General features: G+C 35.7%; 1 protein-coding gene across 2 annotated transcripts in view; it reads right to left on the bottom strand.

Moving 5' to 3' along the window:
• The window catches only part of CNTNAP2 (contactin associated protein 2), a 2,304,198-nt gene that overhangs the window by 1,562,192 nt on the left and 716,245 nt on the right, over window positions 1-25,761 (bottom strand). For both annotated transcript variants that reach the window (NM_014141.6, XM_017011950.3), the window contains exon 3: window positions 18,903-19,096. In NM_014141.6, the coding sequence (NP_054860.1) occupies window positions 18,903-19,096 (194 nt within the window). The remainder of the gene's footprint in view (window positions 1-18,902; window positions 19,097-25,761) is intronic.

Raw genomic sequence — 25,761 nt, 5'->3', positions numbered from 1 at the left:
TAATAAAAATGCAAAAAAATGAAATGTGATTTATAAATATGACTACCTTTCAGCAACTGATATTACATATGGGGTAGCTAAATTTTATAGTTCATTAATTGATTAATTTTTTGAGACAGGATCTCACTCTGTTGCCCCAGGCTGGAGTGCAATGGTGTGATCATGGCTGACTGCAGCCTCGACCTCCTGGACTCAGGTGATCCTCCCATCTCAGCCTCATGAGGAGCTGGAACTACAGGCATATGCCACCATGTCTGGCTAATTTTTGCATTATTTGTAGAAACACGGTTTTGCCATGTTGCCTAGACTGGTCTCAAACTCCTGGGCTCAAGTGATCCTCTCGCCTTGGCCTCCCAAAGTACTGGGATTACAGGCATGAGCCACGAAGCCTGGTGCAAACTTTTTAAAACAGTTTACCTTAGGATGAATGCAAGAATGTCAGTGTTGGCAGGGAAACTAGACAACATTTAGTGCAAGCCCATTCCACTAGATAAAAATCTCTTTCTCATTTAGGCAGGTTCTTTTTGATATCTTCACAGAACAAATGAGTGCAGAGAATCTGTATATCATATTTGCCTGACAACTCTCTCCAAGGAACACTAAGTACTCCTCTGGCAAGAGAAAACCTTCATGTCCTCCTCAGACTTGAGTTGCCACCGTAGATCTTAGCAGATTTTTCCAGAACAAGATCTAATTGTGATTTATTTCCTTCTGTCAAGGCCCTTAGCACCTTTTCCTACATATGTTTTGAAATATCCAATTGTCCTAAGCTAATGTCACGTCTTCTTTCTTTCCACTTTCAAACTTATTCTGATAAGTGTGACTTGTTGGTGCTTTTGAGTTCTCCATGCCTGAAAGCATATTCACAGTTTTATTGACTTTCAGGAAATTCTTATCACCCCCTTCACCTTACAAATCCTGTGAAACAAATATGATTCCACAGTTTAGTGTTCTATGTGTACATCTTTGGTAGTATCTTTGAACATATGATATAGAACCAAACACAAAACAGCAGCTGACTACTCATCACTTACATCAGGAATAGTCCTAGATAACACTGTCTATTGATAGATTGGTGTGTCTTTTTTCTTATATTCCACGTGCTCCTGTCAATTCAGACACCCACACGGGATGGAGGCTCTCTCGTCCCTCATTGCCCCTCCCATTGTTTCTCAGTCGTTCTCTTGGTCTAACTTCTTTTTCCTCTGCCTTATCAAGTCAAATCTCTATTTTCTGGAGAACACCACTTATTAGCTAGTTAATGGAAAGATCCAATTAAATATACTAATACAGATTTCAATTAGTGGTTTAAGATTAGTATGTTTATTTATATACTCACATAAGGCAATCTGGTTTTGAAAGAATACCCTGTTAAAACAAACAAACGAATACAAGCTGTGGTAATGTGTTTCTAATGCTGGATTTTCAGGGAAATATTAAATCTGTTTAACTTTTCTTTTGAAATAATTTCAAAATTATGGAAAAGCTGCAATAATAGTATAAGGAACACTTGTCCTTTTACTCTTTATTCTTATTCTTCTATTTTACTCTGTGCTATGTGGTTTATCATTCTCTCTCTCTCTCTCTCTCCCTCTCCTTCTCTCTCCTTTTTCCACCACCCCAACACACACATTATTTTTTCTGAACCATGTGAGAATAAGTTGCATATCATGTTCACTTACTTCCAAATAGTGTACATTTCATACAAATAAGGACATATGTAGGTAAGTATATAGTTATCAATTTCAGGAAATTTAACATTGCTACATCGAATAAACCTTCCATATCCCAATATTATCCATTGACCCAATTATGTCTTTAGGGCATCTTTTCTTATCCAAGACAGGATCCAGGCTAGGATCACGTATTACAGGTAGGTATCATGTCCCTTTAATTTTCTTTTACCTAGAATAACTCCTTAGCCTTTTAGTGTCTCTTATCACACTGATACATAGACAATGTATTCTCCTTTATCTTTTTAGTAGAACATTCCTCATAGAATATTCTTCAATTTTGGTTTGACTTTTGTTTTCTCATAATGTTTACATCCACTTACATTCTTCATGGGACACTACATGCACGGTGTTGGGTCCTTCTCAGTCCACTGCCTCTGGAGGCGCACAGTGTCTGCTTCTCATCTGTAATTTTTATTTTGATTACCCACTCAAGATGTTTAATTTCTCTTGTGTAAATATTATTCATTTCCCTTGCAACTAATAAGTGATTTGTAAGAGACACTTTAAGACTATACAAATTTACTTCTCCCCATCAAAACTCTCCGTATCCTCTACTTTTATTACCATTAATGTCTTATGCCAGAACTAGTATTTACTATGATGGTTGCAAATGATGACTTGAGTTCCCACCTCCAGCACCCTTCCACGTTTCCTAGTCAGAAGTTCGTATTCTACTATAAGCAAGAGGCCTCTCTTCTGCCTCATTTTATCTATCTATTGCCTGCCTATGTATGTATGTATGTATGTATGTATGTATGTATGTATGTATGTATCTATCTATCTATCTATCTATCTATCTATCTATCTATATCTATCATCTATCTATCTGTCTGTCTACCTACCTACCTATCATCTCTATAGACTTAAGCATTTCTATTTTTCTCTAAAGGTGTGCAATGCATTACTGTCCTTAACTATTTTGGTGTTCAAATTGTCCAGGTTTGACCAATATGAATTATTTCAAGTTGGCTCTTATGTAATTTTGTATTAACCATCATTTTTCCTTTCTTTCTGGTATAACAAGGTGTGTTTAATTTAACAAGTTTCTTTCTCGACCACAACCTGGTAAAATTTTTCTAACTAGATCTGATTTCTTTTAGATGATAATTGTATTAATAATTAAAGTCTATCTTAGGTGTGCTTAGTGTTACTGCAATATTTTTGTTTCTAGATCCATCCAGCTGTCAGAGCTACTTAGCATGTAGTATGTAAGTGTGTATATATATATATATATATATATATATATATATATATATATATATACTCATTAACACACACATATATTTTTAAGTAGGCTTCATTCTTGTCTTCTCTCATTCCACGTATGTTTCTTATTTCCTTCATGGTGAGAACCTTGGCCCCCAACACAATTGACATATCACTCATTTGCTCAATTTACAGTACATTTAAATATGTTCAGAAATGCTTCAACCATATATACGTTTCCTCATTTCTTCTTTCTTAAACAAAAGTTAACATACAATAAACGCTCTTTGTACTTTTCTTTTTTTCACTAAACAATATATCCAGCAAATCCACCCCATGTCAACTTATATTTTATCGGTTTTCTTCACAGCTGCTGTGTATCTATTTCAAATATGTAGCCTAGTTTATTCAACCAATCTATATTTGATCATAAAGATAGTTTCCAATATTTTGTAATTACAAATACAATGGCAAGAAATAACTTTGTGCGTATGACTTTTTATGTTATTGGAGCTGTATAATTAGACTAAATTCCTAGTATTGAGATAGTTGGGTTGAAGAATAAATGCATTTTTAGTTCTGCTGGGTATTGCCAATCCCCCTCTATAGCTATTGTTCTATTGGACATGCTCATCAGGAGTATATGAGAATGCTGTTTCCCCAGATTCTTCCCAAAAGAGTGTATAAACAACCTTTTCGGTCTTTGCCAACCTGATTGGTGAGATATAGTATCCCCATAGAGGATTAATTTGTATTTCTCTTTTCATTTTACATTTGTATGCATGTAAACACAATTTTATATATTTTGTTTGAGTTTCCTTTTCATGTTTTTGCCTGTTTCTATATTTTCTCAATTTTAATTGGTAGATATTATAGACATGGAAATTTTCTCTGTTAGCATCAATTATACATAGATGGCAATTATAATACAAAAATAAGATTAATAAATTTAGGCATTCATCCTGCAAATAGAACAACAACAACAAAAATAATACTAACAAACACAAAATCAAAAGCAAGTAGGAGTAGCCACAGCTTGGTTTACCTGTCATTCCCTGTGCATGCCAACTGCACACAATGATGCCTGTTTCATATACATTCATTTCTTTTCAAACCAGAGGCAATGACATCCAAACATATTTCTTTAGAAATACCCTCTTCATCAGCAAATAATACTATGTGCTATACTAAGTATCTATGTACTAAGTGTGAGTAGATCCCGTGTACTTATATCATGCTGAATTTACATAAAGAGTAACATAATGTCCCTATATGTTGCAAGTAGGCTCTTAAAGACCCTTTGCTAAGCTCTCTGGTTACCATTTCACCTGGCCCACTGGTTTTCTCCCACAATTATCTTTGGTACTAGAGAGCTATTCCAATAACAGTTCCTGGTTTCTTTCATTCCTCTTCCATCAGAGGTGTACCTTGATTCCAAGTCTGATTAATTTGTTTTTACAACTTGTCACTGAATTTTAATACACATAGGAAAAAAGCACACATAAACATACAGCTTGATGCATTTGCACAAGTGTAAGAAGCACTTAAGTCAAGAAACAAAGAATTATCAACACTTCTAAAATTTCTTTGTATCCTCTTCTAGCCATGACCCTTCAACAGAGGAAACCACCATCTAGATTACTAACCACATGGACCCTGGTCCAGCTTGGATTGGAGATTGCCACACATCCATGCCTTTGGCACCAGTTCCTTGCCATTACACTCAGCAGCATCAAGCTGCCTCCAGGTCTGAAGGGAGGATAAGCTTTGCTGCTACAGTCAGTATTCCCAGCCTCCTTCTCATCTCCCTGTTGCTGCAAACTCTGTTGTTTTCTCTCCTATAGAAATCCTAGGCTTTTCATGTGTTCCCACACATGCCATTTTGGACAGTTTGACTTCTAATAGATGTAGGTACATGCAGTATTTCTCAATATTATTAAGTATAAATTAAGATAATAAACATTATTGTTTATAAATTGTAAACCTAATTATAGCTGCATATTCCAATGTTCACTAAATTCCACAATTTGGTGGATCTGTTAACAAGTACTTACTAAATACATTCAATAGTCAAGGCACTTTCCTAGCTGATGAGACCCAGCATTTAACAGGACAAAATAAACCCCTCAGACAACTCACCTATAATCAAAAACTATGATATCTTCTTAAATATGGTATAATAGAGAAAGCAAAGACTAGTGGGACATAAAGCCAAGGAAAAAGCCTGGTCTCTTACCTCTCAGGATCTTGTTACAGTAATTGACACAAAAAGTGCTTACCAGGTAAGTACTCAGTGCATGGTGATTACTATTGGCAATGATATTTGATTTTAGTAAAAATGCCAAACATCTCTGCACTTCAATTGAATAAGCTAAGAAATAGGTTAAATTCCATTAAATATCCATAGGTTTGATATTATTTGGGGGGAGATTAATAGTTAGTGTGTAGTAAGAGTTGAGAGAGTGTGTGTGTACATGTGCCTGTGTCTTATTTCACAATCAGTTATCCCAAATCCTAACATAAAATATACCTGAATAATCATATTTTGGTTTTGATTTTAAAATTTGAAACCAACATCATTGGCATTCCTGCTTACATTAAGTAAAGCTAAAGTGCAATACTTCTATTAATATTTCAAGAAAATGCTGTCATATTAAAGATATGTAATCATACCTTTTTATTTAACATATCATGTGAAAAACTCATTGGATATTCCTGCTATGTCATAATCACAAAATCTTTCCAAAGGGACTGGACGTTTCTTTTGTATTGGTCTGGTTTCTTTTATCAAATACTTGTTTGTTCCAGGCTGAATGTAAAGAGCCTGAATGACTTTATGATAAATTCACAGTCTTTTTCTCTTGCTCTAGGCTGTCATACACAGCTCTGTTTTCCAATTTGTATACTGTAACAAAGCTGAAAAATACACAAACGAGACAGTCACTGTGCGTATAGAATGAACAATTGTGCTTGCTAAGTGCATAAGATAAACAACGACTTCACCCTGGGCAACTCAGTTTTCATATCTGAAGTGGAGGGAATGTGTTTCTTAACCTTCTCTGAAGAATACTGGGAGAACTAATGAAACCTGCCATTTTCAAGCAGATACTAGTATAATCCAAATGAAATTAGCAATTCAACCTCAACTTTTAATTGGGGAAAGCTGTTTTGGCTCTGGGCGAGCTCTTTTCTTTGCTGATAGAAAAATTATCCATCATTGTTTAGAATGCATGTTTGCTGGAATCCAGTTTTTAATAAATAATTACTATATCTCAAAGAATTACATGATGTTGATAGTGTTAAATGGTGCCTAGTGCAGAATAAACTACTGTATGGAGTTTGAAAGTAGGACATGATTTTTAAGGCCAAACATTTCTTTGGGGACGGGGTGGGAGATTGATTCTTAAAGTGTCTTTGGTTCATTTGCTATCTAGGATAGAATAATTCTGAAAATGTTTCCTTGGAGTTTTGAATGTAAATAAATGATTGCAGAGAGTCATATATAAGTAGTCGTTTGATTCAAGCATATTTTCTGAGTTAATGAAGGTTGATGCACAACTCTTCCTAGAAGATATTGTCTTTCTTACAAGATCATCCTTATTCTTACTTACCAGACACACCCCTATCAACACCCTAGCAATAGCAAATAACTTTTAATGTCATAACTTTATAAAGTACTTGCCTACTAGTTGTTATGAATTTAATTTTGTCCCCCCAAAATTCATATGTTCATGTTCCAACCCCCAATGTCTCAGAATGTTACCATATTTGGAAACAGGGTCTTTACATGTATAGTTAATATGAGGTCATACCAGAGTAAAGTGGATTCTAAACAAATAAATTTTTTGTAAAATGAATGCCATATAAAATGAAAAACAAGGCCAGCCACAGTGACTCATGCCTACAATCCTAACACTTTGGGAGGCCGAGGTGGGAGGACTGCTTGAGCTCAGGAGTTCAAGACCCACCTGGACAACAAAGTGAGACCCATCACTACAAAAAATAAATAAATTAAAATTATCTGGGCATGGTGACATGCACCTGTAGTCCCAGCTACTCAGAAGGCTGAGACAGAGGATCCATGGGTTCAGGAGTTGGACCTTGCAGTAAGCTATGATCACATCACTGCACTCTAGCCTGGGTGACAGAGCAATACCATCAAAACACACACACACACACACACACACACACACACACACACACACACACACACAGAAGAAAGATGATATAAAGCAACACAGGGAGAAGATAACCACCTGCGAGCCAAGGAGAGAGTCCTGGAGCAGGCTGTTCCCTCACCTCCCTCAGAGGAGGAGTCAACCCTGCCAACCCCTCAATATTGGACTTCTGGCCTCCAGAACTGTGAGAGAGTAAATTTCTGTTGTTTGAGCCACCCAGTTTATGGTACTTTATGATGGCAGCCCTAGCAAACTAATACAGTAGGTAAATAGTACTTTCTTTAAAAATTGAAAACAGCAACACCAACAATAGCATTAAAGACCAAGATCTTCTAACTTTTAAGCTCTGTGACCTTAGGTAAGATCCTGAACCTCAATTTTTGTATTGAAAATTAGAAAAAAGCCCAGGTGCCGTGGCTCATGCCTGTAATTCCAGCACTCTGGGAGGCCGAGGCTAGTGAATCACCAGAGGTCAGGAGTTCGAGACCAGCCTAGCCAATATGGCAAAACCCGACCTCTATTAAACATACAAAAATTAGCCGGGTGTGGTGGCAGGTGCCTGTAATCCAAGCTACTCAGGAGGCTGAAGCAGGAGAATCGCTTGAACTTGGGAGGCGGAGGTTGCAGTGAGCAGAGATTGGGAAACTGCACTCCAGCCTGGGTGACAGAGCGAGACTCTGTTTCAAAAAAATAAAAATAAAAAATAAATAAAATACCAACATCTTATATACAAGCGCTATATTACAGTTTAAATGCAGAGATCACTAAGTTTCACATTGCCTGTGAAAGGAATGGCTGACCAGGGCCATAGTGGCAAGGAACACAGGCTGGTTAGTTAGGTAGCTTTGGTTTCCTATCCTAGCTCCACTGTTTGATTAGTTTAGTTTAGTTTTTTTTATTTTTATTTGTATTTTATTTTGCGGGTATGTTCCTTAAAACAGGAAATGTGATATTTATTCAACCATTACAATTTTTTTTTGCTTTCATACAGAGATATATTGTGAAATGATTACCATAATAAGTTAGTTAACACATCCATTACCCAGTCCCACCGTGTACCCCAGGGAAAGTTGTACTTTCTCTAATCCTCAATTTCTGCAGCCAAAAATAGGGCTTAATCATAAAAATAATAATCTATATCCTCACATATTAGTTGTTTTTAAGATTAAATGATATAAAGCACATTAAACACTTAAGGAACCCCCAATAAGTGTTGGTTGGCTGTTATTATTTATTAATTTGTGCAGCTGAAGTTTTCTGAATTTCTCTGCTAAATCACAGGAGTTTTCACAGACATCTTCCAAGCTGCATATTAATATCATTATAAAGCATTTAAATTGCAATTACAATAGGCCCATTCACTGTCTCATCAAAATATATTGGTGAAGTTCATCGGAGAAATGCAGATACTTATCTCAAACATTATTTTCATTTGGAAATGGACAGAATTTTTTCTAGAAGCCAAAGTCTATTCTCTACTCTTGCTCTAGACTTCTGAAAAGGCATAGATGGTGAATGAACCTTTCAGACAGCCTGTCAGCACTATATCTTTTTGCCAGAATGATCATTTCACTGCAGCCTATAATTAAGCTATTTAACTCAAGCAAACCAAATTTATTTGCCAAGACATTTTAACATTCTAGTAGTTCTCTCCCAAAGTCAACACTGACTAAATTAGCTACCTGGAAAACAGTATGCATAAGTGAAACACATAGAATGGGTATCTTCACGGTGTCCAGGGGCATAAGCATCCTGAAAGCTGTGCAAGATGACCCGGGCTTTTGTTTAAAGTTATTGTAGTGATTTTTGCTGTCCTTCCAATTAAAATATATTATTCTCAAGGCTAGACCTACTATTAACTACTTACTTGCATTCTTTATATCACTTTGAATATAGTATTTGAGAAACATTAATGATAGCATTCGTAATAATACTGATAAATAGGAGAAAGTGAAACAAGAGGACGATAAGAAGAGACTATATTTATGGGGCATTGTTCTAAACAATTTATTTTTGATTAATTTATTTCTCACAAAAATCGCATAAGGTAAATACAATTATATCGCTTTTACACCTAAGGCAACTAAGACCCATAGTAGGTTGATTAACATAGTTAAATACACACCACGAGAAAGTGTTGGAGCAGAGTTCAGATATTTGAGGTCCGGTCCAGAGCCCATGCTATCTTGTTCTATAAATATCGTGTATGTATTCAATAGTATTTTCAATTACTCAAAATGAGCAGGGGTTCATTATAGTAATGGAACTTCTTGCTGAACCAAAATAAGTATTTGGCTCCATATTCAGTAGTGAGGTCAGTATACCTGGATTCAAGGTTCCAGTTTAAGGGACATCATGGTTCTCAGCCTCAGCTTATTCATCTACAGAATGAGATACTTCAGTTCAGTTGTAAACTCATAAACATCTGTTTTGTGCTCTGCAGTGAGCTCTATATGATGAATGGCACAGAGATAAAAATGTGCCCTAGGCGACTGCATAAACTCCAAGGTTCTTCCAAAATTAGATATTTACATTATATAAATTAAGCATTACTGATTCACAGGATATAATTTCAGAGTTTTTTTTATTTTAAAAAGTCAGCTTTTTGCTGGGTGCAGTGGCTCACCCCTATAATCCCAGCACTTTGGGAGGCCTAGGTGGGTGTATCACTTGAGGCCAGGAGTTCAAGGCCAGCCTGGCCAACATGGCGAAACCCCGTCTCTACGTCTCTACTAAAAATACAATCATTAGCATGGGATGGTGGTGCATGCCTGTTATCCCAGCTACTCGAGAGGCTGAAGCAGGAGAATCCCTTGAACTTGGGAGGCAGAGGTTGCAATGAGCTGAAATCGCTCTACTGCACTCAAGCCTGGGCAACAGAGCGAGATTCTGTCTCTAAATAAATAGATAAAGGTCAGCTTTTTATTTTGTTGCATGTCAGAAAGTCAGGAAAAACGCAGTTATTTATAGAATCCCACTCTCCATTCCTACCTATTTCAGCAGAAGATTCATCTGCTTGGAATGACTTCCTGCCCCTCTTCTCTGAGTGACCAACTCCTTACCTATTTAGCCAATAGTAGGTAGCTCCAAAGAAGCCTTTGCTGGACCCAACCACTCTGAATAAGACCACTTTCCTAGTGTTCCCAAAACAACCTAGGCAAGCACCTCTCTATTTGAACAGTCATACAATATACTTATAATTGTATATGTTTAGCCTTATCACCAGTTTATTGACCCCTAGAAGACAGCAATTATGCTTGTGTTTTGGTCTGTTTATCCCTAGCCTCAATAAGTAGTAGGTGCTCAGTGAGTGCCTATTTATCAAAGCTCACTCTTTTTTCACGATAAATCTGTCTGCAATTTGCACTGTAAATTCCAGTTATTCTAATTCTACCTTCTGGTTTGGAAACACAAATGCTGATGCTTATTCCTCTTTCTCGTGAGAGTTCTTCAAATATCAAAAGCAACACACTCTATCTTGGAGGTATATATGAATCACTTGTGAGTCTTCCTAAACTGTAGATTCTGATCAGTAGATCTGGGTTAAGCCTCTGAGATTCTACATCTCTGACAAGCTCCTGGATGTTCCTGGTGCAGCTGATTTGTCCTTTCATGGCTAACCAGCATAAACTGTTTTAGTTAATACTTATAAGCCTATTTTCAAGTCTTCTTATCCTACCCTTTTCAGTTGGCCTAAGAAGACACAGAGAAGTACTGTAGACAAAAATGGGTTATTTCTTTCCGAAGTTAACGCACTTTATCAAGTGAATTTATTAAACTAAGTCTAATGAAAACATCCTAGTCATATTTTCACTGAAGTTTCATTAAAAAATATATATCTGAAAAAACTTTCCAGGCACAATTCATATGACAAGGCATAGGACTCGATGTGATAATAAGTAGGCCCAAGATTTGAATGGCATAAATTAGCATTCTCAATTATACTTCCAAATGAGTCATTTGTCATTCCAGGCTGGGAAACACAGATGTATGTAATACAGTACACACACCAATACACTAATAGAAAAACGTTATTATAAAGTGGAAGTAACAGGCTATTTTAAATTTTCAAGAAAAGAGCCAATATACTATGTTAATGCACCTAGAAATCACAAATGTATAAAATAATTGAGTGATTAATATGTTCCAGACATTGCTCTAAACCCTTTGTTTGACTTTTTCTCTTAATACCTACAACCTCCATTGAGGTAAATACTATTCAGGTAAGTGACTAGACCCATTTTACAGGTTGGGAACTTTAGGCACAGAAAGCTTAAAGAATCTGCGTGAAGATACACAGATCTATGTTACCAAAATTGTATAATCTGCCTAGGTGGTCTGATTCCAGAGTGTAACATAGAATTACTCATTCCACGGCCTCTCAGGCGTCTCCAGGCACATAAGAAGCATGATTTACTGTGCCCTAAATTTCCCAAAATAAGCATACTAGTATTCCTCTAAGTTACCACTTGAGCAGAGTAGAAACATACATCTTAAAAGAAGGAACTGATATCTTATTCAAATTATTTGTAGGTACCCATTTATCAACACATTATATAACTATGTATTTACTTGGAGTTATTTAGCCTCAGGTAACCTAAATCCAACCTTGACACGATAAAAAAAATTAGCATTGAGTTCAATGTAAAAAAAATTAGCATTGAGTTCAACGTAAAAAAAATTAGCATTGAGTTCAATGTAAAATAAAACACCTGAAAATATTAGTATAATTGATAACAAATCTTGTTTCATGGATACTTTAAACATTAGAAGAATAATTACATATATCCTATTTTATCTCATAGATGAAAAATACATTATACTGTGAAGAACTATATACTGTTATTTTACAGCCTGTAAGAAATCTTATGAGATTATAACATTTTCCTTTATCTCATAATATATGCCAATAATATATTCAATATTATCAACAGCATCTTATTTTTATCTTCCAAATTTTAGAAAAATATTAAACACATAACCATATTTGTTAGAACAGTTCTATTTATGTACAATATTGAGTCTCAGAAATTGTCCCAAGAAACCTCATGACCTTTGAAAATGAGAATCTCACCATACAAATGTGTATTTAGAAAGGTGATCAAAATTCACTAGTAGATGCATTACAGTATATGCAAAAGGATCTGGAATATCCACTCAACTTATTAAAATTCATGAGACTTTAAAAATATTATCCAGCCTAAGAGGAGTATAAACAGAAAAATCTATTTCACAGAAATAAGGAGCTTATTCTGAAATCGCCTTGGAAATTGTTTTTTTTTCTATACAAGTTCTGAAGATTTTTACCCCATTTATATCAAAGATAATTTTAGAAAGTGTTTGTTTGATGCAGATTATTCTGATGTGTTTTATTTCTCAATAAGCTATCTATAAAATTATTATGAATATGTCTGCCTGATCCTTTACCCAAATAACTGATGGCAGCAGGAATGTAGATGTTTACATAAAGAAGCAAGGGTAATACTCATCTTTTGGGGAAAAGAATCACATTCATGTCCTAAGTGAAGTAGAAGTTATTATCCGATGGAAGATGTAGGGGCAGGCGACAGGATGGTTGTCATCCTGACTTTCGCATGCAGACAAAATTCTAGATATTTTGAAAGAATCTAAGTACACCATTGAACTGTAACAGAATGGCATTTATATTTTATATTTATACTGGGAACAGATTTTTAAGTGATTTGGAAAATTAGTGCAACCACTATAACAAATGGCTGAAAAGAAAGGACAGAACAATCCATTCATTTCTAAACAGTGTCCCCTTAAATGGCTCATTGGACACAAGGCCATCATGATGGTAACAGATAATTTGTTACAAGCACTGCAATGGCACCTGGCACAGAGCTAGGTCTACCTGTCATGCCTCACTGACCCAGCCTGCACTGCACTATCTAAACATGTATTTACCATGTGTTAATCGAAAATTATGACAGAGATTTGCATACATTCTACCTCCAACTTTAAGTAACATTTCCTTAATCTAAAATATTGTCAGATATTTTCAATCATGAATAAGAGTAAAAAGAGGTAAAGGGAATCTGAAAAACATAGAGGGTGACTAAAAATTCTGAAAATTGTCATTACTGACTATTGTCACTGAAAAAACATACTACACTAGATTTGGAGAATGCTTCTAAAATTGGGAATTGATGACACACATGTTTCTAATCTTAATAGCTTGAAAAATTTCTTTACTTACATAATCTCACTTAAATATCCCAATAGGAATTATATCTACTTCTCAGATTAGGATTTCAGGAACAGAGAAATAAAGTCAGATCTCCAAGTTTATAAAACAAACAAATGAAACAAGATACATGAATTCAGACCTTTCGACTCCATATCTTGGCTTTCACTTGCCTGATGGCTAATTACAGGCTAACTCAAAAGGATGTTTTTGAGAACTTTTATTTTATAAATACTGGTTGATGGAATATGTAATTAAAAAGAAAGTAGGGAATACGTGGTCCAGCTTATGCCTTGCTATTCAGAAAATCCAAATGTTTCATAAATGAAACTGCCAACTATTGTATTTGTCTTCTAGATTTTTGAAATGTTTTAAATTTATTGAAACAATTATGTGTATGCATTTGTACATGGGAAAAGCGTATATGTGACAAGGAGATCTAGGTTTTGAAAATAAGTAATCTATTTAATACTTCTTAGATAATATGAATTTGTTTATCCCTATATTCTTGATAAGTATCTAACCATATAATTTAAATATGATAAAACAGCTGTGTTCTGTAGAATTCTCCATTTAATAGATGCAGTGGTAACAAATTTCAGTCTAACACCTACTTAAAATTAACAAAATGGATCAAAACTGTTTTTAAAAATAACTGAGAATATACAAGCATGTTTTCATGATTAGGAAGTGTTTTTTAAAGAAAAACAAAAACTGCGCTCATATGACTGGTAAATTTGTAGTATGTTCCTATCCTACAAAATAATAGTGGTGTGTAAAGAAGGCATCCACTGCTTTTACTCCAGTTTCCTATTTTGGCTCCGAATATCTGCATTCAAAATCCAGTAATTGAATTTCCCAAGCAAAACAGGCCTCTTAGCAAAAGCCTGCTGGAATTCTTATTTAATATAATGTTTAATGGACTTCTGATACAAAATGCTTATACAGAATACTTCCTCTCTCTCTCTCTAACAGATTATACTTAGGAAACTTGAAAACATCTCAAGATAATCATGCAAATTAGAGTTGGTGGAGTATGTAGATGTAATGATTTTTTGGGCAATTTTATTTACCTATTACATTGGAAAAGAGGTTCTAAATAGAAGGAAATTATATTGTAAAATATAAAGAATTCTATTATGCTCAGTATCATCAAAGAGGAATGGAAGGTTTGACTAGTTAAGCCCATTTAGAAACTCAGATCTTTGAATATTAAATATTCAGATAAACCATTCTTTAGGAATCTTTTCAGGAGCCATTCTCACTCCCTAATGCAAGATTCATGACTCTAAAACCTTGTGAAACTGTCATAATTTGCTTATATATGACTTGTTCTTTGCTTATTTTAATATATTATCCAACAGTGATAAAATAACTCGGAATGTCCATATGAACATTTAATAAGAATACTATAAAAAATTACTTATGTTGTCCATTTCCCCAACAATCAGAAAAACATAACCATGGACATTTGTTTAAAATTATATTCATGTGATTCAATATACATTATCTTCTATATTTCTCAGGTAAACAATCATTATAAAATGGATAGTAAAAACAATTTCAAAAATACATAAATTTTTACATCTTGTAAGGTGTTTTCCATCAAAAAGCCATCCAATCTTCTCTATATCAGAATTCTCTTCAAGTCCAGTATACATAATGTTAAGCAGTAGTGGATTAAAAAACTCTAGTATTTAATATCATTTTTAATAAACTTAATCCCCAAGAGTACTTTTTTTTGAAATTTGTAAATGCTAAATTTTAATCACTTAATGAATGATAAGACGTAGCCCTAAAATATTCAAGAATTTTTAGAAGTCAACGAACTTTAACTCTTTTAGAATACGTCAAAGGATTGGACTCTTTTTTTTTTTTTTTTGTATTAGTAAGGATTAAAACATTTCTGTCACAGATTATTAAATAATGTAATCATTATGTGGCAGGCTTACTGGTACTTAAATATATTTTGCAATATTTAGATTGTGTCTCTGATATGGTTTGGGTCTGTGTCCCCACCAAAATCTCATGTCAAATTGTAATCCCCAGTGTTGGAAGAGGGGCCTGATAGTAGGTGATTGGATCACGGGGGTGGACTTCCCGCTTGTTGATCTCCTGACAGTGAGTGAAATCCCAGGAGATCTGGTTGTTTAAAAGTGTGGGACAGGGCCGGGCGCGGTGGCTCACGCCTGTAATCCCAGCACTTTGGGAGGCCGAGGCGGGTGGATCATGAGGTCAGGAGATCGAGACCATCCTGGCTAACAAGGTGAAACCCCGTCTCTACTAAAAATACAAAAAATTAGCTGGGCGCGGTGGCGGGCGCCTGTAGTCCCAGCTACTGGGGAGGCTGAGGCAGGAGAATGGCGTGAACCTGGGAAGCGGAGCTTGCAGTGAGCCGAGATTGCGCCACTGCAGTCCGCAGTCCGGCCTGGGCGACAGAGCGAGACTCCGTCTCAAAAAAAAAAAAAAAAAAAAAAAAAAAAAGTGTGGGACAGGCCGGGCGTGGTGGCTCGTGCCTGTAATCCCAGCACTTTGGGAGGCCGAGGCAGGCAGATCACAAGGTCAGGAGATGGAGACCATCCTGGCTAACTCGGTGAAACCCCGTCTCTACTAAAAATACAAAAAATTAGCCGGGCGTGGTGGCGGGCGCCTGTGGTCCCAGCTACTTGGGAGGCTGAGGCAGGAGAATGGCGTGAAACCGGGAGGCGGAGCTTGCAGTGAGCCGAGATCGCGTCACTGCACTCCAGCCTGGGCGAAAGAGCGAGACTCCGTCTCAGAAAAAATAAAAAAGTATGTGACACCCCCGTCTCTTTCTTCCTCCTGCTCCCGGCATGTAAGACATGCCTGCCTCCCCTTTGCCTTCTGCCATGATAGTAAGTTTCTTGAGGCCTCCAAAGCCATGCTTCCTATACAGCCTGTGGAAACGTGAGTCAATCAAAACTCTTTTCTTCGTAAATTACCCAGTCTCAGGTATTTCTTAACAGCAGTGCAAGAACAGACTAACATAGTCTCCAACTTGTTTTGATTTTTAAAATTTTATAATGAGCTCACTACTAATAATCACTCATCACGTAGCATACTGATTTTTAATAAGAAACACAATATTTGAAAGGAAGAAACAAAGTGAACACCAGAAAGGGAGAAGACAATAGAAATGCACCTTTATCACCTTAAGATGGAGAGCCCTATAAGTAGACCCAGCATATCTTCATAATTTGTGATGTTTTCACTACATGACATCCTTGTCTCCCCGACTCAACCATTATTATTCTATGTAATATCAAGAGTCCAAGGCCAGGTGCAGTGGCTCACGCCTGGAATCCCAGCACTTTGAGAGGCCAAGGCAAGTAGATCACCTGAGGTCAGGAATTCAAGAGCAGACTGACCAACCTGGTGAAACCCTGTCTCTACTAAAAATACAAAAAAAAATTAGCCAGGCATGGTGGTGGATGCCTGCAATCCCAGCTACTCGGGAGGCTGAGGCAGGAGAATGGCTTGAATCCAGGAGGCGGAGGTTGCAGTGAGCCAAGATCACACCACTGCATTCCAGCCTGGGCAACAAGAGCAAAATTCCGTCTCAAAAAAAAAAAAGACTCCAAGACAAGCTGAACAATTTTATCCTCCTTAGCCTTTTTTCCTTATGTCTCTGCATTTAGCCGTCCTTAACTGTTCAGTATTTGACAGATACATTAAAGTTCAAGTATTTTAGCAGCTATCTTTATTACTATCTTGGCACATTATGAGAGGAGAGGAGATTTGAACACTCTTAATTTTGAGATGAAGACTTTACAAATACAAAAATGTGAACAGTATTTCTGTTCTGATATAGAGAACAGTATTTCAGAGTCTGACTTGTAACCCCTCAAGTAATTTTACCAACATGCTAATTTGATCTTAGTTTAGAAATCACAGAAAGTAAACCCCTCAAGCAATTTTACCAACATGCTCATTTGATCTTAGTTTAGAAACCATAGAAAGTTAGAAAATAATGAGTGCTCTGGGTGTTAGAAGGGTCTGTGATCCAAGCCTTCACTGTTTACTCTCAGTTGTTTGGTCTGCTGTTTGGTTGGTTGGCCACTTGATTTCTCCCTCCCCTTCCCCCCACCCAACCCCCTTACTCCTCCGTCTTCCCCTCTCTCTCTCTGCCAAATTTTAAGGGCAACTCTTTCAAATTTTCTGTTCTCCTCTTCATTTTCAGCATATACTTCCTCTATCCCCTTCTTAACTGTAGACTGAAAACCAATCTAAACTATGTATTCGGTGTTCACTGTACATTAGCATCACCATCGGAGCTTTAAAATCCCAAAGCCCAGGCTGCACCTTAGACCAACTAAATTCAAGTCTCTGGGGTTGGGACACAAGGGTCTATATGTTTTAAAGTTCTCTAGCTAATTCTACTGTGTATTCAGGCTTGATAAGCACTTTTCTATAAATTATGCCTGAGGATTTGAATTATCTCAATTGCGAGATGAAGACATTTTAGAAAGAGGCATTTTTCCCACTACTTGCTTTCCGTAACTTATACATCCTAATACACAAATATTCTTTCCATATAATTATGACTTGAAAGGAGTTATTTCTAAAGTTCTACTTAAGTAGACACATTTTTTATTATCAGGACATTATATCCTTATTTCACATACTGCTGTAGAAATGAACATCCACTTTAGCTAGAAATTATAAACTCTTGTTACTTAGAAAAAATAATTGGGGACTTTTAAAATACAAAGTCTACAAGAGTGATTCATGATAAAGTTAAAAATATCCAGCACTCCAACTAATACTGTGAAGGACATGATTTTAAAAGTGAACCCTTTCCTCTTCCTTCTTTTCCCCCTTCCCTTTCATCCTCTCCCTTTCCTCCTCCTCATCTTCTTTTTCTTCTTCTTCTTCTGGTTTAATATTGATGACAGCACTTGATTTTGGTCATGCCTGCTTTTTAAAATAATTAAACAAAGTAGAACACTTAAATTTTACTGTTAAATAATTTATTCAAATTATTATGTGGTGAATATTTGATTGAATATATACAACTTTTTAAGTTAATAGAGACATTTTAAGAACAAATGGGTTAAGCTTTATTCTCTTCTTTCATAATAAAGGAATAAAGTGAACATAGATCTGTAATAAGTGTTTAAGACACTATTATAAAATGGACAAGTTCTTTTCTTAACATCTATCACTGCTCTTACTTCTCTAAATTATATTCTTCATAATTTCAATATTTTCCTTCAATTGAAGATCGCTGTCTTCAGAAAAGTTATCAGTATCATTAATCACTATTTCAACTTACGTGATTCTGGTCTTATTGATCCGGGTTTGCCTTTCATCTACGTGCTTTAAAACTTCCTCAGGTGATTCAAATTCATAGTCCAGATCTAGAATCATTGCTTTAACCATTGGATAGAAATTACAGCCTGAAGAAACTTTCTTCCATCAACAATGATGAATAAATAGTTTCCCAATGATTTGAATACATAAATATTGATAACTATATATGCTTAGTAAATCCTGTACCATTTTCTAATATTTCCAATCCAATTCTGTGTCTTTGCTTTCCTGCCAATGACTTACCCAGATATTCCCATCTTGATGATAGGGTTTCCAGTTTCTCCCTGTGTCGCTGTAGAGCATCCGGTATTGGGTCACCCAATCTGAGCTGCTATACCTTCCTTGGGTTGCAATGGCACTGATCTGCTTCCGATTGCCAAAGTCAACCTGAAGCCATTGATAATGGTCGCTGTCTGATGGAGACCATCCCCCAGCACCTGAAGATGGGCAGAGGTAAGATGGGAAAATGAATATTTAAATTTGAACTTGTACAACTGACAATGGAATATTCTACATATCTTAATTGGTCTTGGCAGTGCTCTATTTCACAGATATATTATGAAATATCCTTTATAGATGCCATTGGGACTTCAACTAATATTCTTCCAGCTGGTAACATTGATTCTTTAACCTCTTTATGGTGTAATTATGTGCTCATTTTCTCCTGAGCAAATGTCTTCATAATTCCTCAATTAGATCTTATTAGTACATGTCAAAGTCTAATTGGCTGAGGGTTGACCAATTTACCATAAACTCTTCAGCTAAAATCATGAGAAAAATGTATGTAACTATCCAATTTTTTCTGTCATGTAAACTTTATCATTTAATAAATTATAAATTAAAAACAAGCAATTATACACAATTCTAAAATATATTTTTCTTGTGAAGTAAAGTAGAAAAATATTTGCAATTCTTAAAATGAACCTAATCTTACATTAATTTCCTGTACCACTGAGAGGTACAGGGAAGTATATAGGAAATCAGGAAGAATGTTTATTTAACACTTAGAAGATATACAGTCAATACCTCTTGTAAGTCATATTTCTAGAAAAATTAGATACTAAACAAAGTTAAATCTCTTTTGGCAAAATATAAGAATTGCTCAGCAAATAGTAAGAATGTAAAAACATTTGTTAGAAAAATGGCACTCATATAGATCAATATTCTTAATTTACAGTAATATTTAAAATAACTAGGGTTGTACACAAAATAAGTTACAGAAAATATGGCATAATGTTAGTGCTAAGAGGCACTATAATTTTTACAGTGAGTTCAGCTACTAAAGAGAATGATATAAAAATATTCAATAGATTATCCAATGTACAGTATATCAAAACGTGTGTACTATTTTTTAAATAAGGAATTTAAAGGCTGGCAAAATAATTTATTCTATGAGGACGTTCATAATAATCATTTCATAAATCATCACAGATATTCAAATAATAATGGTTACATGGCCTATTTTTGCTTAAAACTATGATAGAATAGCTTTTTTTAAAATTACAAAACTAAAAAATATATAAAATAACTGACTGGGCTCAGTGGCTCACGCCTGTAATCCCAGCACTTTGGGAGACCAAGGCAGGTGGATCACCTGAGGTCAGTAGTTGGAGATCAGCCTGGCCAACATGCTGAAACCCCATTTCCTCTAAAAATACAAAAATTAGCCAGGCGTGGTGGCAGGTGCCTGTAATCCCAGCTACTGGGAAGGCTGAGGCAGGAGAATTGCTTGAACCTGGGAGGCAGAGGTTGCAGTGAGCCAAGATGGTGCCATTGCACTCCAGTTTGAGTGACAGAGTGGGACTCCATCTCAAAAAATAAAATAAAATAAAATTTTAAAAAATCACTGTTTTAGGGACTGGACAATGGGCAGTGCAGTACGTGATCCATAAAATAAGATAAACAAATAAGGTGAGCCCTGCCAACTTCCTGGCTTTCTGCTAGCTTCACTTTCTGGATCATGGCATATGGAAGATGATCCCAAACAGAGTTCAGCAGTGCAGTAGTGTCATTGAAACGGAAACATATTACAATTCAAAGCTACTAAAGAAGCTGGAATTAACAGGACAGAGTCCCAGAGAGGGCACAGCTGTGTAAAGTGCTTTAGAAATCTACAAGGGAGTCATGAATGTGTCTCTGCAATCTGGACTCAGAAGAAACACCATGCTGTGCACTTTTAGATCAAGACTGCACAAGACCAGGTAAAGGGAGTTCTGAAGTCAACAATAACCAGAGGTTGCACAGAGCTGGGAAAAATTTGATTTCAGACTAGACAAAATTGAGAGACCTTGTTGAATCCCTCCAGGCATTCAGTAGACATCCCATAAAAGTCATGCATTATATGTAGGGATATTTTAGTCCTAATATGAGGGCTAGTCTGGACACACCTGAGCAAAGGTTACTGAAAAAGATAAATCTGACCAAAAATTAATTTTTTGATGGAACAAAACTTGACACTCCATTAAGGAAAGTCATAAACATTTAGAAACTGAACAACATTGCATCCATAATGTCAAGTATATCAACTGAAAAATATACTAGACATTTGGACAAGCAGGAAAATATGTCTTAGAACCAGAGAGAAAAAAATCAATGGAAATGTATCCCCAAAATAACAGAAATGATGAAATTAGCAGACCAGGACTTTAAAAACAGTAATTATTAATTCTATTATCTAAAATAAAACATATAAACATTTTTTAAAAATGCAAAATGTTGAAGGAGAAAAGCAACAAACGAGAACAAAATGGAAATTTTAGGAGTAAGAATTACATCTGAAATAGAAAATTTAATGGATGGGCTTAACAGCAGATGAGACACAGAAGAAAACATCATTGTACTAGAATGTAGGGCCATATAAGGCATCTAAATTAAGCTCAGAGAGGAAAAACAAGGCTTAAAAAATAAACAGTTATTCCAGTAAGTTGTGAGACATTGATAACTGCCCTAACAATCATGCAAGTGGAGTACTACAAGCAGAGATGACAGAGATTGGGTCAGAATAAAATATGTTTGAAGAAATAATGGTTGAAATATATAAACTCAGATATGTGAGAAGTTTATTGAATTCCAGGCAGGAGATATACAAGGGAAAATACAATAAGGCACATTATAATTATTTGCTGAAAGACGATGCTAAAGAGAAAATCTTAAAGGTATTCAGAGGGTTACAACTTCTCAGCAGAAATAATGCAAGCCAAATGACAATGAAACAACCTAACAGACATGATGAAAAGGAAAGATAAAAAAAAAGCTGGCAACCTGAAATTCTATGTCCAGCAAAAATATATTTTAAATATAAAAATAACGTAATATTCAAGACAAAAGCTGGGAGAATTCATCACTTTTATGTGTATACTATAAAAATATAAGTTTTTCACCTTAAGGGAAGTTTACCATTTTGAAACTCATATTTACATGACGAAATGAGTGCTTAAAATGCTAAACATGTTAAGTACATATAAAATATTTGTTCATGTTTTTAAATTTCATTAAAAGATAATTTAGTGCTTACAAACAGTAATGATGAATAACAGGGTTTATAATAAATGTGGAAGTCAGATATGCAACTACAATAGTACAAAGGATAGGAGTCTGGACAGGAAATATGTTATGCTGTGGTCTTAACTTTACATATGAGGTGGTATTACTTGAAAATAGCAAACCCTAGATCAAGGGTCAGCAAACATTTTCTGTAAAAGGTTAAATACTATGTATTTTTGGCTTTGTAGACCATACTACCTCTGTTAAAACTGCCAAATTCTATTATAGTATGAAGAGCAGTACATACACAAAAGAGTATGGCCATGTTATAATGAAGTGTTATTAACAAAAGCTTGTAGCTGGACAGAGGGTTGAAGTTTGTTGATCCCTGCCCAAGATTAATCTCTTAAAAAAAAATACAAATTTAAAATCTGTACCTTTCACTATATCGAAATCATATCTCACAAAACATTTGGAAAAATTTAAGTATCTAGTGTATGTGTTTGCATAGGTTATATGGGTGCTATCTATGGAATATATGTGCAAACGATGTAACTACTTCTCAGTTTCTATTATCATATAATTCACACTTTTACAAGAATATTTTTTCTATGATACAGTACTTAGCTGTAATTCCTCTTCAGGAATTTCCTGGGTTAAAAAGAGGCACATGTAGATGGTATACCTTCATGGGGTTGTGCAACTGCAACGACTGGTCAACCTGGGGCTATAAAAAGCCAGTACCCTGCCCCAACCTGTAGAAACTCTGAGGTGTCTTCACAGTCTCAGAGCTCCCTGCAGGGATTGGTCAAAGACTTCATTGAAACTGCATTTCACCTAAACTCCTCCCTGTAACTAATTTCTGTTTCATTCCTTTCTCTTCCACAGGTTTTCATCCCCAAAACACTCCTAATTAACTTCCTAGATGCTATTTTTCATCTCAGGATGTGTATCCTGGAGATTCTAGTCTGCAGTACCTCTTGGGACCACTTCCTGATAATCTGTTTACTAACAATGAGTTACTTATACCTGCTTTGTAGTGTGTTTTTTATATGTTATTTTTTTCCTATTGTAGTGTTAATATATAATATTCCTTATTGTCATATATCATTCATCTTCCTATTTTACCTAGAATTCCATAAAATTTTGAAAGAGCTGTAGGTTAATTTTGGGGACAACAATATACTCAGTTATTGTGGGGTAACAAATATATTTTCTTACCTGTTAGATATACAGTTCGAAACCTTGAAGAAATTTTATAGCCAATTTCATACAGAGTTCTATGTATTACCAAAAGCAACAGAGTGATTGAGTGAACTCAAGTCAACGAGCAATTAATACAATGAGGTAACAGGTGAGAAAATGTCTGATTGATTGGTGAAACTTAGACTATTTCCTCTGTTTTGCTAATGAATGCTCCAGAATAAATTTTCTTCAGTTACTTATTGTTTGCTGCATTCCAGTCTTTCAGCAAGCAAGCAACTAACATACAGCTGCTTAATCCCATTTATCTCATTACTTTTAGCAAAATAGAATTTATTGTTAACTTTAAGGAAAGCAAAAATCTAAAATCAGAAGAAATATAAGTCAAAATGTATTTCTTAGCAGAAATATATGTGGAGAGAATACTGTAGTGATTAACCTCAAGGGGAGGGCAAAAGTCAGTCTTTCATGAGGAACATGGTGGAAAGATCGATGAAAAGTTCCCTTTTTCTCTTTGGTCTATCAAGCAATGCAATTCGGGGAAGTTTATTACTTTGTTTACTTGGCTTGTGAAATGTGTAACCTCTATTGATCCGAGGATTAATAATGATACCTCTTTCATCACAACCACCTCTGGAATGTGGTATATAAGAGGGCAAAAAAGTTCCCAATGTATTGTAGCAGCTCAAAGAAAGTGGTTGGACGTCAAAGAGGAGTTAGAAGAAGTGGAGATGCTGAACAGTCATAAACTCTTAGTTCCTAAGAAGAACACTTGCCTAGAGATAATAGTGCCTAAAACATCTAGCAAATAACTAGTGTATTGTTGAAGTAACTTGAAAGATGTATACTTGTTATGGAACTCTTGCTAGTCTCGAAACAATAAGAATGCTGTTTCTTCATTCCCCTTCTCTCTCTTCTTCTGTGCTCTCTCTTCCCTTTCCCACCCCTCCCATCCTCCATCTGTCTTTCCTTCCTCACTCTTCTCTTTATTCTCACACATACACAGATATTCCTCCCCCTGTGTATTTGCGTGTGTGTAGTATATGGTGTGAGCACACGTATGCTGTAAAGATATACAGTGTTTGTATTCTACGTGTCCATTCTATGTGGGCTCCTAGAGTGATCCATTACAATAGAGAATCTGAATAATTGAAGAAACTAGTACTCTGGACTAATATGAGTTATTTTTGCTTTGTAATTTGTAATTCAGTAAGTCAGACAAAAGAGGAATTTAGTGGGTGGTTTAGAGAGGCCATGGAGTTTCTGTTGTAGTGATAAATGGCTCCTGAAGAAACGCGGCACTCAAGTTGGTGGTTTTAACACCACCAGAGACTATATGCCTGGATTCTAATTTAGCAAAAATACAAGGTGAAAAAAAAATTCAATTAGGGTTAGAACTACCTTTAATAACTGGCTGAGAAATAAGTATCAGCTGAAAAAAATAAATTGAAAAGGAGACTCCAGGCAAAATTGCATTATGAGTTCAGGCTTTGAGACCCCCTTCTGCTTCAAATACACTGTATTTTTAGATAAGATAGATAAGAAGAAAATTGAAAAGACATAGCCAGGATCAAAAAATAAGATAAACATCTCTATGCACAAGAAATGCAACAAACATGCAAAGCAATGAGTGGGGCTGAAGCCGAGGCCAGACAGAGTCCGGATCTGGGGACATACAAAGGCATTTGGGCATTTGACTACTACGGAATATTGGTAATGTAAGTTCCCTGTGTGTATCAGCTACAGAAAGCTTGCTTTAAGGTTGCAAACCGAGACTGGCCCTCGGCTAACCTGGTTGTGAAAAGAGACTGAAGAAAGCTGATTACTCACTTAAACATATGGATTATATGAGGCTGTATGCCCAAAGAGGTTAGCAAATAGGCATATCTGAGCTGAGTAAAGGCATTCACTGGCTTGGTGACTAGACACATGATTCCCTAAAAACACTGCCAGGCACAGGCATCGGGCGAGTAATGTAAGGTACACTTTCAGACTGGACATTCTGGGACTTGAGTAGAGAAAGTCCCAAAATGATAAAGCACAAAAAACAGGGGAGATGAGAGGAGATAGGAAGAGAGAAGAAAGAGAAAGAGAGACCAGAAAGAGAGAGACTGGCTGTCAAGAAGAACATGCAAATGAAAATTTCAAATGACAGGAATGAAATCCAATGCCACGAAGTCAACAAAGTCAAAAGTTCAACACCAATTAGTTCCATAAGTAATAGCAATTGAGGGCTAGTGGAGATAAATAGGCTTTATCCTCTCAAAAATATAAAATAGGTAATGCTATTCATTAAAAATAGCAGTAATTATCAGTTACAACAGGGAAAAATAAAACATTTATAGATGGATACTAAAAGAAACTATGAAGTAGTTTTAGAAATGCAAAAGTTGGTTGATAGGAAAATAAACTCATC

Source organism: Homo sapiens, chromosome 7 (genome assembly GCF_000001405.40).
Source record: "Homo sapiens chromosome 7, GRCh38.p14 Primary Assembly".
NCBI classification, from domain to species: domain Eukaryota; kingdom Metazoa; phylum Chordata; class Mammalia; order Primates; family Hominidae; genus Homo; species Homo sapiens.
This window is presented reverse-complemented; position numbering and strand designations above follow the sequence as displayed.